Here is an 18,948-nt window from a genome sequence, read left to right on the forward strand (position 1 = left end):
CTGAAGAAGTATTAAGATCATTTTCTGTCATTTGTATTTGTTTCCTAAGAGGGGTGTGTATATTTTCCCAGAGAAGTTTGGAGTGGAGAGGGAGATGCTGTTCCATTTCCACACCCTGGGATATCCTTCCCTTGGCCACTCCAGACACATTATCTTAAGTGTGGAAGAGTCAGGAGTGGAAATGCAGAGTCAGAGCTACTATATATTCCTCAGTACTTGGGTCTCATGGACAAAGTTTCTTCAAAAAAAAATCTGCAGGGAGATAGAGAATTGCAGCAGCTGAAGACTCTGGAAACTGCCTCAGAGGCAATCTCCCACCTCCTTTGCCTAGAGATGGGTCTGATCCCAGGCTTAGATATTCTCTTTATAAATAGAGCTATGAAGAGATTTAAAGGATGTTAGGCTGCTTTGAAGGTGTAAGACCCCTTCCTTTCCTACCCATCCTCCTCACTCCCTAGCTGGTCCCAGTGGCTCTCTCTCTCGGCAGATTTGGTCTGTGTGTCCATGTACTGGAGAGTCAGTGGGCGCTCATTTCTCAGAGTTATGATGTCCTTGGCCTGGCCTGCTTTTACTCTGCTTGCTTAGATCTGCTGCTCTATGGAAAAGGTAAATCTTGCGCAGGTCTCTGCTGTACTCCTGAGGGATTCAGACCTCAGATGGGGCTCTAGGTTTGGAATACAGGCAGTCATGAACCTGTCCCTCAGGCATGGCCTCTGCCCCTGACCTCTGGCTCCTTAAAGTCTGGGAACCATGTTGTGATTCAGGGGTGTCTGCCTTTGGGGTCTTTTTTCCTTCCCTGTATCACATACCTTCTATACCCTGGTTCCTACACTGATATTATATACTAGCGTGGTTACCTTCTCTGTCCACAGGATTGCTGTGTCGGCCCTTTAGTGAGTGTCTGCGTTTCGTTCAAGTCTACGAGCACAGCCGTGTTCTAACCTCTCAGAGCAATGTCATGCTGGGGGTCCACTCCTCCCTGGCCATGTGGTAATGTCTTACTCAAGGGCTGTGGAAAAGGATAGACATTTATGTCATTTAAGCTGTCTCTCCCCACCAGACAGGACTTTTGAACCTCTCTAACCAACTTTTAAAGACCATTCACCTCCCATACCCTCCCATCTTATTAGAAGGGCTCTTGTCCTTTAACAGGTTTTGGCCTATAGGTCAAGGGTTACGTTTAGGGTTACATTTAACTGCTAGAGTAACCCATAGCAAGGCTGAATATAATTGGTCTCCTTTTAAGTTTCCTTGTATGTGAGTTAGTAGCCTTGGTCACTTTCTAGCATCACAATTCTGATTGTCCATGAGGTCTTAGAGCCTTAAAGAAGTGATGATTTTAAGCAAAAGTCATGGTGGGTAAGCAGCGGATATTGCTGCAAGCTGTTACTCTTTTCCTCCAGGTTTGCCCAGGAATCACAGTGGGACCTGTTTAAGCACTATTTCTCCAACGCTTGCAGTTGGTGAAAAGAACCAATGCCTCGCTATTTGGTGCACATGGCTTTGTCCGATTCCTAGAATGCCATGTGTTAATGTTACAGAAAATGCCAGAGGGTATCTTCATGCATATTCCTCTAGAGCTTCACAGCCAAACCCTTGAGGTACCTGTTTCTCAGCTGTCCTTTGACTAACACCTGATTCACTTAGTTCTACCCTATGGTGCTCTTTCTACCACCTGCATCTCTTCCTTTTTTCCCTTTTACTGGCTCTGTTTCCCTTTACTCTTTGAATCCTTTGTTTCTCCACCTAGAAAGTTTCTACCTACCTTATGTATCCTTCCCGATATTATTGCATCTAGTTCTGGACTGGGTTTCTTAACTTTCCACCTTTGCCAGCTGCTACCCAGTATCATTAAAATATTAACATTTAGCCTTGCTCAATGGACCTGTAGTCTATGGTTCAGTCTATAATTTGATACAGCTCCCTCCAGCCCTTCTGAGTCTAAAACACATTCCAATTCCTCTGTTTTCCAGGCTTATTTTGCCATCAGTAACTCCTTCCTGTTCCCCCAGCCATGAGTGAATATGCTGAATGAGGACCTTTGTAAGTTCTGATGAAGTAGCATGTTAGGAGAATGAAGCACTAATCCCAGAGCTAATGGACCTTCCTTTCCTTTCAGTACTGTAAGGAGTTCTTCTCTCAATGTGTGACCTGCCCTGTCTATCACCAGTGGGTATCTGAGCTTAAGGCCTCTGTAATGAGATGTGAAAAGAGAGAATTGATGTCCCTGACTAACAGCATCAGACCTTTTGACACCTGCTTGACCAGGATTTGGATAAAAGGAGAATTTCTGCAGGAAAATAACTCTTAGAAAAGAAACTTAGGAATACAGAGTAAGCATTTCTTCCTGGAAGCCTTGTGTGAGAGACATAAAGACAGTCTCAGATTCTTACTCACAAGCAGTCAAAGGCTGCACCTCTGAAATAAAAAGGGACACACAGATGTAAGGAGTTAGTCCTTGCTCCAGAGGTAAGTATAATCCTCTTCCTAGTGCTAGGCCCTGCCTGGACAGATAGGAATCCCTTCTATTGTTAAACAGCAATTTCTTCAGCTTCTCTCAGCTCTTTGTTTCAGTATTGGTAACTCTTTGGCATAGAAAGTTCTTCCTTGCTTTTAGCCAAAGCAGTTGGGTTGTTTCCTTGAAGTAACTGGATGGTCACTAAGGAGAGAAAAAGGTCTTAGAAGTCACAATGTAATGTCTATGAAGGTGAATGATAAGATTAGGCAAGAAAAGGAGAGGAAAGAATATAGTTCCTTTCCTCAGAGGCCTGCAAATCTTCTTTCCCATGGCTGCTATTTAACTTTGTAATTGCTGAGGACATTCTTTGTATTTGTGACATTCTTTGTGTTCCTTCTTTCAGGATTTGACAGAGTGGCTGATGTCAAGGAGAACAAGGATGCAGAAGAAACTCAAGATGTATGTATTAAAACAAAAGAACAATAACCTGAAGGGACCATGATTCTGTTATTGTATATAACACAAGGAAATGCCCCAGATTCTCCTTTAAAAGATATAATGTACATATTAAGTATACTAGCCTTTATAGTTACTGCTATCTACATGTTTATCAAAATAAAAGACTATTTTTTTCTAAAACATGCCACTTAGATTTTTTTTCACTCTTAAAAGTCATTAGCACAACTTTACCAGAAGTTACAACCAGGAGTAGACGGGAGGCCTGGAAGGCTTTAAGATGAACTGATTCCATCTTTTATAAGGTGAGATCCATTAGCAGATGAAAAACTATGACCCTAATAAAGAAATTGCCATTACTTAAGGAAGGCTGGTAGTGCAGTGCCTTGGTGTTGCCCTCTTTTGGCACAGATATGGTAATGGGCTCCTAAGAAGTCAAGGAGTCTTTTGAGAGGTACAAAGGGCTGTGGGAATCCATTTCTCCTTTGTGCTATGTGATTTGGGCATTCCCAGGTAAAATTGTGAAGTTGCCAGAGTATGTATTAACTTTAGCTTTCTTCCTTTTTCTTCTCTTTGGAGTTGCCATCTTTGGCCTTTATCTGTTTGATGGTGTTTCTTCTGCTGAGTATGATCTTCCCATTGATTTCTTACACTTTATAACTCAATCATCTAGTGTCCATAGAGTGAATTTGCTAATGTTATGATAGCTGCAATTTGTTATTTACTTACTTGTGCTTGAAATACATTGTTTAAATCCTTTATCAACTCTGTGAGGTAAGTACTATTATTATCCCATATTACAGATGAAGAAATGGAAGGCTAGAAAGAGTTTACCCCAACAAACACAGCCACAAAATGGTAGATCTGAGCTTCTAAGTCAGATTTGATTCCAGAGATTATGTTAGGCTATGCAGGCTTTCATGGGAACTAGGCTTTCCTGTACCCAGTCTTCACTATTCTCTTCAAATGGCCAAGATCAGAACTTTAAGGACAGGAAGGGAGAAGTTTATGAAAGGGAGGCCTGTACTTACCCTTTAAATCATGCAATCTAATCTATACATTTCCTCCTTCCACTTTTCTCCCTCTTGCTACCTTTCTTTTTCCTGTCCCTCTATTCCCTTCATCTTCCCCCTTGCATTCCTCCCATCTTACCCCTTCCTTCCTTTCTTTCTTCTTCTAACCCACTTTCTGTCCTCCTTCCTCATTCCTTTAAATTTCTGGGAGGTAATATAGAGTAGCAGTCCAGACAAGGACTCTGGAACCAGATAGACTGGGTTGAAATTCTAACTCTGCTGCTTATTAGCTGCATTCATTTGGGCATATAATTTATCTTCTATATGCCTCAGTTTCCTTTTCTGAAAGGAAGTTTTCCTTTTCCTTTCTAGAAAGTTTCCTTTTCCTTTCTAGATGGAGTTAAAATATCCTCTTGTCCTAAAAATAGGACAAAAGACTGTCAATGTGAAGATTAAATGACTATAAAGCACCTGGCATATAGTAAGCACTCAGTGACTAGTAGCTATTATTATTGGTTCAGCTTTTATATTTAAAAGTAGATGTTACATTTATGTGGTACAAAATTCAAGAGAAACAAGTGTGTAACAGTGAAAAACTCTTTCCCATCTCTGTCTTCCAGACACCAGTTGCCCTCCCCAGAGATAATCAGTGTTACCACTTCCTTGTGTACCCTAGCAAAATTATACTATGCACATGTAAGCAATAGTATATAGTTACTGCATCCTTCTTTCCCACAAATGGTGGTGATAGGTAATAACACCCTGCACTACTTCATCCTTTTTTTTTTTTTTTTTTTGGCATTCCCTTTTGGCACTTTTTTTATTAAGATAAAATTCACCCTTTTAAGGTATACAATTCGGTGCTTTATAGTATATTTGTAAGATTGTACAATCATCACCATTATCTAATTCCAGAACATTTTTATCACCCCAAAAAGGAACTCTGGTCCCATTAGCAGTCACTCCCCATTTCCCCTTCCCCTAATCTTTGTTAACCACTAATATATTTTCTGTCTTTAAAGATTGGCCTATTCTGGACATTTCATATAAATGGAATTATTACACATGGCCTTTTCTTTCAGTTAGCATAATGTTTTCAAGGTTCATTTATGGTGTAGGGTTACTTTTTATGGCCAGGTAACATTCCATTGTACCACATTGTGGCACATGATGCCACATTTTGTTTATCTGTTCATCAGTTGGTGGACATTTAGGTTGTTTCCAGTTTTTAACTATTGTTATAAATAATGCTATGGTAAACATTCATGTACAAGTTTTCGTGTGAACATAGGCTTTCAATTCTCTTGCATATATACCTATCTTGGCGTTTCCAGGAATTGTCAGGTCATACAGAAAGTCCGTGTTTAACTTTTTGAGGAACTGTCAAACTGTTCTCCAAAGCCTCTGTACCATTTTACGTTTTCACCAGCAATGATTGAGGCTTCCAGTTTTCCACAGCCTAGCCAACACTTGTTTTTGTTTGTCTTTTTTATTATAGCTATCCTAGTGGGTATGAAGTGGTATCTTATGATTTTGATTTATATTTCCTTAGTAACTAATGATGTTGAGCATCTTTTCGTGAGCTTACTGGACACTAGTATATCTTCTTGGAGAATGTCTATTCAAATTATATGCCCATTTTTTAATTGGAGTTTTTGCCTTTTATTGCTGCGTTTTATGAGTTTTAAAAATATATTCTGCATACTGGACCCTTATTGGATTTGATTTGCAAATATTTTCTCCAATTCTGTGAGTTGTCTTTCCACTTTCATGACAGAATCATTTTGCAAAATGAAAGTTTTTAGTTTTGATGAAGTCAGTGTATCTATTTTTTAGTTTGGATCCTTGTGCTTTAAGTGTCATATCTAAGAAACTATCAACTAATCTGAGGTCACAAAGATTTACTCATGTTTTCTTCTTTGACTTTTTTGTTTTAGCTTTTATATGTAGGTCTTTGATTTATTTTGAGATAATTTTTGTATATCATGTGAGGTCATGTTACAAAATCATGCTTTTGCATGTGGCTATCCAGTTGTCCTAGCACCATTTGTTTTTTAAAAAAATATTCTTTCACTCATTTAATTGTCTTGACACCCTTGTTGAAAATCAGTTGATCTTAAGTGAATGGGTTTATTTCTGGCCTCTCCATTTATTCTATTGGTCTATATGTCTATCCTTATGCCAGTACCATACAGTCTTGATTATTGTAGCTTTATAGTAAGTTTTACAATCAGGAAGTGTGAATCCTTCAACTTTACTCTTCTTCTGCAAAATTGTTTTGGCTATTCTGGGTCCCTTGCATTTACATATGAATTTTAGGATTGGCTCATCAATTTCTGCCAAAAGGACAACTGTAATTTTGATAGGGATTGCATCAAATCTATAGAATAATTTGGGAAGAGTTGCCATCTTAACAATACTAAGTCCTCTGATCCATGAAACTGGGGTATCTTTTCCATATATTTAGGTCTTCTTTAATGTCTTTCAATAATGTTTTGTCATTTTAATGTATAAATATTAGTCTTCTTTTGTTATATTTATGCCTAAATATCATATTCTTCTTGGTACTATTATAAGTGGAATTGTTTTCTAAATTTCATTTTTGAATTATTCATTGCAAGTATATATAGAAATACAACTGATTTTTGCGTATATATATTTTTCTTTTTTTCTCAGACAAGTTAGAGAATGTGTATTGATTTTGCATCCTGAAACTTTGCTGAACTTACTAGATCTAAGTTTTTTTTTAGATTCCTTAGGATTTTATATATACAAGATCATGTCATCTAAAAATAGATGGTTTTCTTTCTTTCTAATCTGGAATCCCTCTATTTCTTTTTCCTCCCTAATTTCTCTTTCTTAGAACCTTTAGTACAATGTTGAATAAACGTGGTGAAGAGTGAATATTCCTGTCTTGTTCCCAATCTTGGGGGGAAAGATTTCAGTCTTTCACCTTTTAAGTGTGCTGTATGCTTTTGATAGATGGCCTTTATCATCTTGAGGAAATTCCCTTCTATTCCTAGTTTGTTGAGTATTTTTGACATGATATGGTGTCAGATTTTGTCAAATGCTTTTTTGGCATCTGTTGAGGTGACCATGTGGTTTTTGTCCTTTGTTCTATTAATATGGTATAATATCATATTGACTGATTTTTATATGTGAAATCAACTTTGCATTCCTGGGATAAATCCCACTTTGTCATGGTGTATAATACTTTTTATTTGTTACTATATTATATTTGATAGTATTTTGTTGAAGATTTTTACATCTCCATTGATAAAGGATGTTGGTCTGTAGTGTTTTTGTTTTTGTTTTTGTTTTCTTGTGATTTCTTTGTCTGTTTTTTGGATTAAGGTAACACTAGCCTCATAGAATGAGTTAGGAAGAATTCCCTTCTCATTTGTTTTTTAGAAGAATTTGTAAAGGGTAGGTTTTAAAATTCTTTCAATATTTGGTAGCATTCACCAGTGAAGCCATCTGGGCCTGGGCTTCTCGTTGTGAGTTTTTTTAATTACTAATTTAACCTCTTTACTTGCTATAGATCAATTTTTTATTTCTTCTTGAGTCCATTTCAGTAATTTGTGTCTTTCTAGGAATTTGTTCATTTCACCTAGGTTATCTTAATTTGTTGATATACAATTGCTCATAGTATTCCTTTATAATCCTTTTTGATTTCTTAATGCCAGTAGTTCTCCCTCCAATTTCATTCTTTATTTTACTGATTTGAGTCTTTTTTTTTTTTTCTTGGCTAGTCTAGCTAAAAAAAGGTTTATCGATTTTGTTGATCTTTTCAAAGAACCAACTCTTGGTGTTGTTGATTTTTCTCTATTATTTTTCTGTTCTCTATTTCATTTCATTCATTTCTGTTCTAATTTTTATTACTTTCTTCCTTCTGCTTGCTTTGATTTTAGCTTGCTCTTCTGTCTAGTTGCTTCAGGTAAAAGATTAGGTTGCTGCTTTGAGATCTTCTTTAATGTAAGTGATTAAAGCTATAAGTTTCATTCTAAGCACTGATTTTGCTGCATCCCATAAATTTTGGTATATTGTGTTTATATTTTTATTTATCTCAAAGTGTTTCTAATTTCCCTTGTAATTTCTTCGTTAACACAGCTGTCATTTAGAAGTATGTTGTTTAATTTCTACATATTTATGCATTTCCAAAATTTACCCCTGTTACTAATTTCTAATTTTATTCCATTATGGTAAAAGAACATATTTTTGTCTAATTTCAATCCTTTTAAATTTATGGATACTTGTTTATGGTCTAATATATAGTGTATCCTAGAGAATTCTGCATGTACACATGAGAGGAATATGTATTCTACTGCTGTTGGGTGGAGTGTTTTATAAATGTCTGTTAGGTCTAGTTGATTTATTGAGTTGTTTATGTCTACTGTTTCCTTGCTGATTTTCTGTCTACTTGTTCTATCCATTTTTGAAAGTGAGATTTTGAAGTCTCCAACTATTATGGTTTAATTTTCTATTTCTTCATTTAATTCTGTCAGTTTTTGCCTCACATTTTTTGAAACCCTATAGTTAGGTGCATATATATTTATAATTGTAGTATCTTCTTGATGGATTGACCTTCTTATCATTATAAGATATCCTTTTTGTCTCTAGTGACAATTTTAGTCTTAACTCTATTTTGCCTGATATTTGTATAGTCATTCCAGCTCTCTTTAGCTAGTTTTCATGGTATATGTTTTTACATTCTTTCACTTTCAACCAACTTGTGTTTTTTAATCTGAAGTTTTTCTCCTATAGGCAGCATATAGTTGGATCATGTGTTTTTAATCCATTCTGCCAATTTCTGCCTTTTAATTCTGTTTCATCCATTTACACTTAATGTAATTACTATAAAGTTAGATGTATGCCTGCCATTTTATTTGTTTTCTATTTGTCTTATGTCTTTTTTCCTCTCTTCATCAACTACCTTCTGTTGTGTTAAACAGATAATTTTAACTTTAGATTTATAATTGTTACTCTATGAAGTTCTCTTTTAAATCGGATAGATGGGGAGAAAGACATTTTTCTTAAGTAAACATTCCCTCTATTGATGCAAGTCTTTGGTTAATTTCCAGAGTTCTGAAAAAGTTGATTCTGAATATATTTGCCAGTTTTCTTGTTTCTTGTTGCTTTTTTCTTTTTTCTTTTCTTTTTGAGAGAGAGTCTTGCTCTGTCACCCAGGCTGGAGTGCAGTGGCACAATCTCGGCTCACTGCAACCTCCACTGCCCGGGTTCAAGCAATTCTCCTGCCTCAGCCTCCTGAATAGCTGGGATTACAGGCATGTACCACCACACCTGGCTAATTTTTGTATTTTTAGTAGAGATGGGATTTCACCATATTGGCCAGGCTGGTCTCGAACTCCTGACCTCAGGTGATCCACCTGCCCCAGCCTCCCAAAGTGCTGGGATTACAGGTGTGAGCCACCATGCCCGGCCTTGTTGCTTTTTGGAGGAGAGAATTTTCAGAGGTTCTTACTCTGCCATGTATCAGTTTTAATGTGTGAGTTCTTTTATGGCTTCTGAGTTTGGTTCATTCTTTAAAGGGCTCTTTTCTCTCTAAAATTATTTTAACTATTCCTCAACAGTCTTTCAACTATTTTTTAGGCCAACTTTATCAAAATAGTATTTACATATAGGGAAATGCACCCGTTTTAGTGATAGGTTTTTGACAAATATAGATACCTATGTAATCACTAGCACAATCATGATAGAGAACATTTCAACCAAAAAAGTTATTTCAGGTCCCTTTGTCATCATTCCCATTCCATCAGTACTCCCAGCTTTGGCACAAAATACTCTCATTATTTTTTTCATTGTCTTTGTGTTATTTCTCCTTTGTCATTTTTTATTTCACTCTTCTTAAGTTGCCTAACAGTGTCTCTTTAATTTCATTTTATTTTAAAGAATCCGTTCTTTTATGTATTATATTGTCTTTCTCTTTTAAAATTAACTGAGTAAGATGCTTAAGTGTTAAGAGTGTGAATTTTCCTCTGAGCACTTCTTTAACTGAATTCCAAAGGTTCTGATATAAGGAGGTCATCTCACCATGTTGCCTGCATTTGCTTTGCTTTATATTGCATGTGTTTCTTACTCTAAAATTTTGAATGGCAGTATTTTCATCTTAGAAGTTACTTTTACAACTATGACTTTGGTTGGTATTCGTAGACTTCCTATCATGATCAATGATGGGATTTTTGTATTTCCTCTTCCTCACCACTCAATTGATTGTTATCTTTCTTAGTATTTTCCTTTGTACTCAAAAGTAAAAATACACTTTTTACTTCTGTCATGTTCTAAAAAGCTCTAAATATATTTAGACCATGGTGAGTTTTTCCAGAGGGTTCTTTTTAGTCTTTATTCTGCCCTTTTTTCTGCCACCTCTCCACTCCCCAGCAGGCAGTCCCTAGTCATTAGTTGATTGGTGGGCAAATTGGAGCCCAGGGCACACCGCTTGTCCTTCTTCCTGAGGTGCTTAGGCTAAGCTTAGGGCCCCTCCAGATGGTGAAAACCTCTTTATGCCTAGCTATTTGTGATTGTAACAAGACTGGGTTACTGAGCATTTCATCCCAATATGGGCAAATACATACATCCCTCAGTATCTGTGGAGTATTAGTTCTAGAACCCCCTGTAGATAACAAAATCCATGGATGCTCAAGTCCCTTTTATAAAATGGTGTAGTATTTGCATATAACCACACATCTCCTCATACACTTTAAATCATCTCTAGATTACTTAAAATACCTAATACAATATAAATGTTATATAGTTGTTATACTGTATTGTATAGGGAATAATGACAAGGAAAAACTCTGTACATGTTAAGTACAGACATAACCATTTTTTTCTAATATTTAAAGAAATATCTAATGTTTCTTTTTTTCTAATATTTTTGATCCACGCTTGCTTAAATCTGTGGATACAGAACCCATGGGTATGGAGGAATGACTATATTTTCAAATTGAACAGTTTCAGAAGAAATTCTGGCAAGTCCTTAAAGGCTCTTTCAGCCCTAGCCTGGACTAGCTTTCATTTATACTTGACCATGGCCATTCCCTTACCATTCCCTTTTCCCTCCCCTCAGTTCATTTCTCCATGGGGCCCTTCCCGGGCTCCAGAGTTTAGACCAAAGGAAACAGTGCTACCAGATGACCACCTAGTTAAGAGACAGCCAGCTCTGATAAGACTGATGTCTGTAAAGGTCTTCTGGTGCTTGAAAATCCTTTGTCCTGCCAGGGAACAGACTTGGTGTCTATTTCCATTTCTGTCCTTATTCCTATTTCTTTCCAGTGCCATTTCTAACACACCATTTGTCCTGGGTCTCTTTTAACTTATCATTAATCTAACACCACCCCCGCCCTATCATATGCTTTCGCATCATGTCACATATTCACAAGGTGCAGAGCAGAAAGGAGAAGAGCTTCCTTGACTCAAGCAAATGAATCTATACTTGGAGGCATCATGAGATAAGCAAAAAATACTTCTGAAGAAGACTTTTCAGCGTCCCTTGAATCAAACTGCATTGTAGTGTTCTGACCAGGGAAGGAAGCCATTTCCCCACTGACGAGAGACAGGAGATCATACAGCACAAAATTTAGACCAGAGTCTTTTCCATTCACAGGCCAAGCAATTAGTCAAACTTGGGCAGTTTCCTTTCCCATTCAGCCATTAAGAGTTTGCACATCATTATTAGGGTTTATTTAGCCCAGTGTGTAATGGTAGAAGAACCAGTGGGGGAGTTGGGTGCAGGGAGGTCTTCCCCAAGACATCTCAGTCATGTCTGAGCGTCACTTTCCCTAGTAAAGTTAGGACATTGGATTAGATCTTAAAGTCCCTGGTTGCTCAGATATCCTAAGGATCCTAGGGCATGAGCTGGCTGGATGGATGCACAGAACCCCTAGGGATGGTCCTCATGAGTTTAAAGTGTGATGAGCAGCTTAGCTGGATGGAGTCTGATTGTTAGGTGGATTCTGGGCTGGCCCACACGAGGTCCCTCCACCCTTGTTCCCTCCCGGGAAGATTACTGTGGCATATGTCACAGGCTTGGAGCAGACCAGGACCTTAGGAGGTAGAGGGGGCAATGAGGATGGAGCTGGGAGTGAAGGTTTTCCTGATGGGGAATCAAGAGGTAGGCTGGTGTAGGTGGTATTGTCAAATGAAGGTGGTGAGTCAAGCCTAATGTGTGGTACATCCAAAGGCAATTCAGCAGCCGGTCCAGAGTCACTGACGTGGTGGACCACTGAGGAGGGATTCTGTAACAAAAGCAGGCAAGTCAGGAATGCCTCCCTCTGCCCCAGAACTCCCTTTGGTGGGAAGCCCAGGACCACACTAGATCTATCTCTTGAATCCTGAGTATATCAGTGGGCAAGAGGGCTTCATTGTGAAGATTTTCAAGCCCCAAGTTTCTCCCCAAATCTGGGAGGGTGGGATGCCAAGGGAGACCATTAGTGTCAAGTTTACAGCATTTAGGAAGAGGGTTTGGACCCCAACTAGGTCCCAGTCCTTTCTCCACCCCATCATCCTAGGACCTCTCAGTGAGTGAGATGAATGGAAAGTCTGGGGAATTTGGCTGTGGGCCTGCAGAGGCCTCTTACCATGCCTGAAACTCTGCTGCTCAGGAATCGGCCACAGACACCAAGCCTGTTCCCTGGCAGGACAGACAACAGCAGCATAGTCTGCTTCCGGGGCTGGCTCAGAGCCCTTCCCTCACTCCCTTCCTTCAGAAGCCTCTGAAACCTCTTCACTACTGCAGACTCACCTTCCCCACTCCCACCACCAAACCTTTACCCCTTCCATCTCCCCAGCCTGCCGTAAATCTCCCCACCCACTTACTGCTTCCAGAGCTCCCTTCAACCCACCTCAGCGCTCAGCCTACCTCCCGAGACCCTTTCCCCACCTTCTCCAATGCCTTTCCTCCCATTGCATTGCCCTACCCTTTCTAATTCCTGTCTTTCTGCAGACTGCTCCCATTGAATCTCCTTCCCTCCCCTCCATCCCTCAGCCCTGGGAATTCTAGGATATGGGGGCCTTGAGACTTAAGCCCAGGCAAATCCATTTGTAGGGGGATTGGACCTAGACTCCTGGCCTCATCTGCACAACTGGTTGATACTGGAATGGTAGGGCCAGGCTGAGATAGGAAGATAGCCACCTACCTTGTTTCCTCTTGGCCATCACAGCAAACAGCACCACCGCTGCCACCAGCAGACCTACCAGGAGCACAGCACCCCAGATCAAGGGGATGCTGAGGAACAGAAAGGGATAGGCAGGCTTAGACCTGAAGCCTGTGGGGAGCTGCTGGCCAGGAGCCCTGGAGCAGTGACAGAAGGGTTACATTCTTGATTGGGAGAGGGAGATGAAATAGAATGAGGGGAGCTGACTGAGGTAGGGCAGAAGAGGGACTCATTAAGGTATCCTGGCTGAAGAATCACCAGCATGAAGGCACCATTGCTGACCCAGGACAGAGAAGTATGTATCTGTCTGTCTGTCTGTCCAGAAGTTCCCCAGAGGTGGGAAGAATCATAGGTTTTCCCCTTCGATTTAGTTTGGAGCTCTAAACAAGTCATTGTCTCCACCACCACCCTTCTCCTGGCCTCCCAAATCCAATCCTGTCAGTACCTCTTCTCATCCTGGCTGGGTTCCAAAGGGTTGGCACTGCCTGCAGGGTCTGAGAATGCGTTCTCAGCCAGACTGCCAATCTTATGGGTCTCTTCTTCTTCCTCTGTCAGGCCAGGAATGGAGTCAGAAGGAAACATTTAATGAGTGCATGCCCATATGGGCAGGCTTCAATATCCTGTTGAGGTCTGAGGGACTGGAGGAGTGGAGCCAAGGAAGGAGAGGACCCCAGGAAGAAACACAGAAAGGGGAGGCTGGGATGTTCTTTAGGGGCCTGTCACTCCACAGATCAGGAAATGGCACTGGCTCTTTATGTCTTTACCTGGTTGTGACTACACCCACTTTTCCCTCTACCACCAGCTCCCCCCATCTTCCTGCTGCATTTCTTCCCTTTTACCTGCTCTACCCCTCACCCCTCTGGCCTTATCAAGCTGTTAAGTCTGTGTAAAAACACCTACTGGATGATCTGTACCCACCTCTCCTTCCCACCCGAATAGGTTTCTGCAGTTCTCATCCTCAATGGTGACATAGCTCCTGGATCTCATGGGTCTTAAATGGGGCTTCCTCACATACCTGTGACCCTGCAACCCTAGCCCAAGCTCTGCCCTCAGGACTGAAGAAAATCTGGGTGGGCCCTCATGTGATGCAACACAAACCAACTGACCCTTGCTGAGAGCCTTGCTGGGATCCTGAGACTCAGTTTGAGGACAAGGCTTCTGTCACCCATATGATGTGCTTGACTTCTGGCTGCAGGACTTGGGGTTGGTTTCTCTGGGCCTGGAGACTTGTCTTAGGAACCTGGCCAGTCCTTTCAGACCGACTGGAATGGGGCCTTGCCTTGTTCTTGAGAGATTCACCATTCCTACTCCCCATCCTATGCCACACCAGGAACTGGGGTTGCTGTGGCACATGTCCTGCCCTCCTGGTGCCTATTAGGCTGCCTTTGACCACCTTCTCTGAAGCTAAATGCTCACCTGAGCCGCAAGCCACATCATCTCTGGATGCTACGCGCCACCTGCCTGCCTGAACATCATCCTCCACAGCACCTGCCCCATGGCAGCAGGTCAGGGGCCCAGGTCCCTGCCTCCCTGACGCTCCTCCCAGGGAGTCTCATCTTGTCACAATTTGCCTTTTAGTGAGTTAGAACCTGAATTTAGTAACTCAAAGTGTCAAGGAATGAGGAGGGCAAAGGATGACAAGGATTAACAATATATTTATAATATAAAACAATAACCACAGGCTTGAGATGAGAAGGATTCTAATGACAACATAGTCTACCCTCTTATTTAGAGGGAAAAAAAACAAGGGAAGGGGCCAGGGGTGGTGGCTTATACCTGCAATCCCAGCACTTTGGGAGGCCAAGGCGGGCAGATCACTTGAGGTCAGGAGTTCAAGACCAGCCTGGCCAACATGATAAAACCCCGTCTCTACTAAAAATACAAAAATTAGCTGGGCATGGTGGTGGGCACCTGTAGTCCCAGTTACTTGGGAGGCTGAGACACAAGAATCACTTGAACCCGAGAGGCCAAGGTTGCAGTGAGCCGATAGTGCCACTGCACTCCAGCTTGAGCAACAGAGTGAGACCCTGTCTCAAACAAAACAAAAAACAAGGGAAGGGAAAATGCTCTACTTAATTTTATTATTTGGGGGTTGGGCATAAAATATGAGAAAAGGAAGACCTAAAGGTGAAAAAATGGCCAGTATCCATAAAAGAAAAGGAGTGGCTGTCTGTGCTTCAGGTAGCTGACCATTTTTTATTTTTAGAACATCCTATCTTTCTTAAAAAAAAAAACCCAAGTTTTTAATATTTTAAAATTTTCTTTTAACAAATGCTTATATACTAGAAAAGTTATGGGCTGTGGGAATGAAACCTGCAAAAACAGTGTCTTTAATACTGAAAATAGGGTCAAGAATATTGGCTTAAAATATTAATGACATTTTTCCATTTTTAAAACGAAAGGAGTTGAAGTTGTTCAGGCACTGAATGTACCTACTTGTAGGTGAGACATACTAGATGGCCTGTGAAGACTTATAAAATTAATTAAGGTATGAATTCCATAATTCTTAAGCCATCAAGCCCGCTATTACAGGAATAAAACACTGGAAGCTACAAAAATTAATTCTGGTTTTATACACTCAGATTCAACATTGTTTAAAATATTTCTAATTAAAAAATAAGTTAGCATCAAGTATGTTGAAAATGCTGGAAGAAGAGGCCAAGTCCCTGGAGTGGGAAGGACATGCCTTCCTGTGGGGAAGCGCAGTAGTGTGGAAGGGGGAAAGGGATGGTTTTCAGCTGATTTATCTCAGACTTCCCACCCAGTTTGGTTTCCGCTCCCTGCAGAGCTGTCAAGAGGATATCTCCTTGGAATGCCTCCTCCCCAGGGGCCCCCACTCCTCAAGAACCCATGAGCCCTGGCAATAGGCGGGGGTGGGGAGGGTAGGTCTAAGGGGTGGTAGCTGGCCTAGGATAACTCACCTGGGGGCAGTATGTTCAGAGAGACTCTGTGCAAAATCTGGGGCCCCCTGGCCCCATCCACCATGCAGCCATACTCGCCAGCATCCTCTTCCTGCAGGGTAACCATTTCCACCTGCAGCAGGCCCCCACCCAGGTCTGTGAGAAACGTACGCCTGCCCGCTGGAGCTCTGCGATCCACAGCTGAGGACACCAGGGGCTGGCACCCCTCCGGCAAGAACCGGCACCACACCTTCTGAGCTTTGACATCCTGGAGCCTGTAGTGGCACTGCACCAGAATGGAGCTTCCCACGGGTGCCTGCAGCACCTCAGGGAGGCTGCCAACTATGCCCTGACCTGGGGAAGGAAAGGAGGTGGGAATTTTGGGCAGGAGCTGGGAGCATCTCCCAGCCCAGCTGCTGGTATGGGTGTGGCATTCACAATAACACGTTACTCCTGGACATGGGGCTGAGCATATGGGGCCCAGAGCTGCAGCTCCTCCTGAACCTTACCTTCTAGTCCCAGGAGCAGCAGCAAGAGCAGGGTGAGGCCCATGGCTGGGCAGAGAAATGTCAACTCCTGGGCTTGCCTGGGCACTGATGCAGCATTCGCCTGAGGGCAGGAAACATCTGCCTCAGAAAGTCACTTGGGGTGGGAGAAAGGAAATGATGGGCACCTCCAGGGGTGGGGAAAGGGAGTTCTTCCAAGCCCTGGTTGGCTCAGTGCTCAGGAACTGCCCTGAGGGTAAGGGTGGGCAAGACAGGATGAGAAGACCCGAAGAAAGCTAGAAGCCTGCAGGGGCTGGGGCCCGGCTAAGGGGTGAGATGGGAGGATTGTGACAATTGGAGGACAGGAGAGGAAGAGGAAAGATGATCTTCAGGATCTTCCTAATACAGAATCTGAGGGTGCACAGCTATGAAGGAGGAAGGTAGAGTGCCCTGCACCTCACTCAATGCCATTCTTGCTCTCAATTCTTTGGGAGTGCCCCACGACCACCCAAGCTTTTAGGAGGTTGTATGCAGTACAACCTCAAACAGGAAGTTTCACCTTGATCCTGTGCCCTGGACTGGGTCTTTCTTCATTTATTGTCCTGGACACTATAGAACCCTTCCATCTGGATCCACATTCTTCAGTTCTGGGAAACAAATTCTTACTTTGATAATTACATGTCCATTTTCTTCTCCCCTTCCATTTTTCTGCAATTCCTTAACTAGTTGGTTATTGAATGTCGTGTGTTCATCTCATTTTCATATCTTTTCTATCTCATTTTCCATCTTTTTGTCTCTTTTGTTCTGCCTTCAAGGAGATTTCCTCATTTTCTTCCATCCTTCTATTTTTGTCTTTTAAAATGTTATTTTTTAATATTTTTAATTTACAAGACAAGATATTCCTTATTCTTTGAGCATTTTTAAATTCTGGCATACTATTTTTGTTTCATGAATGCTCTATCTTCTCTGTTGGAAGACAATTCTTCACAAATATTTTCACATTGCTGCATGTTCTAGTCCTTCTGTGCAAAGGGTATTGGCCAAGTTTTGCTGAAGGGTGATTGAATAGCAAACATACCTTGAGTGCAACGTCCAGAGATTTGCTCGCATTCTTCCTCTTCTTCACCGGAGATTTACATTCCAGAGTAAACGTTTCTCTCTCTCTCTCTCTCTCTCTCTCTCTCTTCCAGAGAGGAAGATATACCAGATTCTCTATATAAACTCCAAGTCTCCTAATTTGGGGGTTTCTCTCCTGTGATCCAAACTCACTGCCTGCACAGGAGGCACCTGGCTCTCATTCATGTTGCCCTGTGGAATTGGGCTCGAGGAACTGGGACAAAGTGTGAGTAATAAACCTAATAAACTATCTGACCTCAGACACAGGGGAAGCACCAGTGGTCAGAGAGACTACAGCAGCTGGGGATGGGTGGGAGGGGCGTATTGCCCTAATCTGGAGGGTAAGACCTAGAAAAGGGCCTGGAAAGGCCATTCTCCCTCACTCCCATCTCCTCCCGTCTCACCTTTTTTCCTCTTTTTCCTTCCTTCCTTTGGGAACAAGGGAGTGAGGAATGGGAAACTGGGAGCAGGAGCATGAGAAAATCAGTTAATGTGTTAAGCTGGGCCTTGTGGAAGTGGGAGATTGGGTGACCAACTTCCCGTTTTTGCTTGGGATTGAGGGGTTTCTTGGGACTTTCTGTGCAAAAACTGAAAAAGTCCTGAACAAACCAGGACGGGTCACCCTAGTTGGTGATGTGCTTATGTCTGTCTTGCCAATGCATATCAGGCTTTCTTTGATTTCCTTATAAGAAAGTTATTTTCATACTAACAAGCCACCCAGGCGTGTTGTGTGAAGAGGTGAACTGTATTCAACACTGGACTAAGTGTTGAATATGGTCCACTGCTGGGTGCTGAGACAGAGGTGACCAGGCAAGATCCTGGCCTTCATGGAGACATCATGTTGCTGGGCGTTAGATGAAGGAAACCAGTGTTTATTGAGGACCTACTATGTGCCAGTCACCTGGCCAAGGACCTTCACAATGTTATTTCTTTCTTTTTTTTTTTTCTTTTGAGACAGTCTCACTCTGTCACCCAGGCGGGAGTGCAGTGGCGCAATCTTGGCTCACTGCAACCTTGGCCTCCTAGATTCAAGCAATTCTCTGCCTCAGCCTCCCAAGTAGCTGGGACTATAGGCATGCACCACATGCCTGACTAATTTTTGTCTTTCTTTTTTTTTTAGTAGAGACAGGGTTTTGCCATGTTGGCCAGGCTGGTCTTGAATTCCTGGCCTCAAGTAATCCACCCCACTCAGCCTCCCAAGGTGCTGGGATTACAGGCGTGAGCCACCATGTCTGGCCACGAATGTTATTTCTTTCAACCTCACAAAAACCTTGCAAAGTAGGGGAAGTGGTTGTTTTGTTTATTTGTTTCTACAAGCGAGGGCACTGGGTTTTAGAGGGATTGAGG

The 18,948-nt window shown here is 41.6% G+C and overlaps 1 protein-coding gene and 1 pseudogene across 7 annotated transcripts in view; one reads left to right on the forward strand and one right to left on the reverse strand.

Annotated features, from left to right (window-relative positions):
- Positions 1–3,099, forward strand: part of ADCY10P1 (ADCY10 pseudogene 1) — a 39,802-nt pseudogene extending 36,703 nt beyond the window's left edge. Inside the window, exons 21-23 of the transcript NR_026938.2 lie at positions 873–990; positions 2,120–2,333; positions 2,862–3,099. The product of NR_026938.2 is annotated as an ADCY10 pseudogene 1 (transcript). The remainder of the gene's footprint in view (positions 1–872; positions 991–2,119; positions 2,334–2,861) is intronic.
- An 8,424-nt stretch (positions 3,100–11,523) lies between these two features.
- TREML1 (triggering receptor expressed on myeloid cells like 1) lies at positions 11,524–17,667 on the reverse strand. Of its 6 annotated transcripts, XM_017010822.2 has the most exons (8): positions 17,564–17,667; positions 17,045–17,132; positions 16,510–16,609; positions 16,022–16,354; positions 13,546–13,648; positions 13,083–13,171; positions 12,525–12,577; positions 11,524–12,182 (listed from the first exon to the last, which is right to left on the reverse strand). In XM_017010822.2, exons 1-8 carry the CDS (start codon positions 17,593–17,595, stop codon positions 11,868–11,870), a joined length of 1,113 nt encoding a protein of 370 aa, XP_016866311.1. In that variant the 5' UTR covers positions 17,596–17,667; the 3' UTR covers positions 11,524–11,867. The 6 variants fall into 6 exon arrangements, with proteins under 6 accessions (XP_016866311.1, XP_016866314.1, XP_016866312.1 ...); XM_017010825.2 differs by lacking the exon at positions 12,525–12,577; XM_017010823.2 differs by lacking the exon at positions 17,045–17,132 and having other exon boundaries at positions 17,564–17,644.

This window comes from Homo sapiens, chromosome 6 (assembly GCF_000001405.40).
Source record: "Homo sapiens chromosome 6, GRCh38.p14 Primary Assembly".
In the NCBI taxonomy this organism is placed as follows: Eukaryota; Metazoa; Chordata; class Mammalia; order Primates; family Hominidae; genus Homo; species Homo sapiens.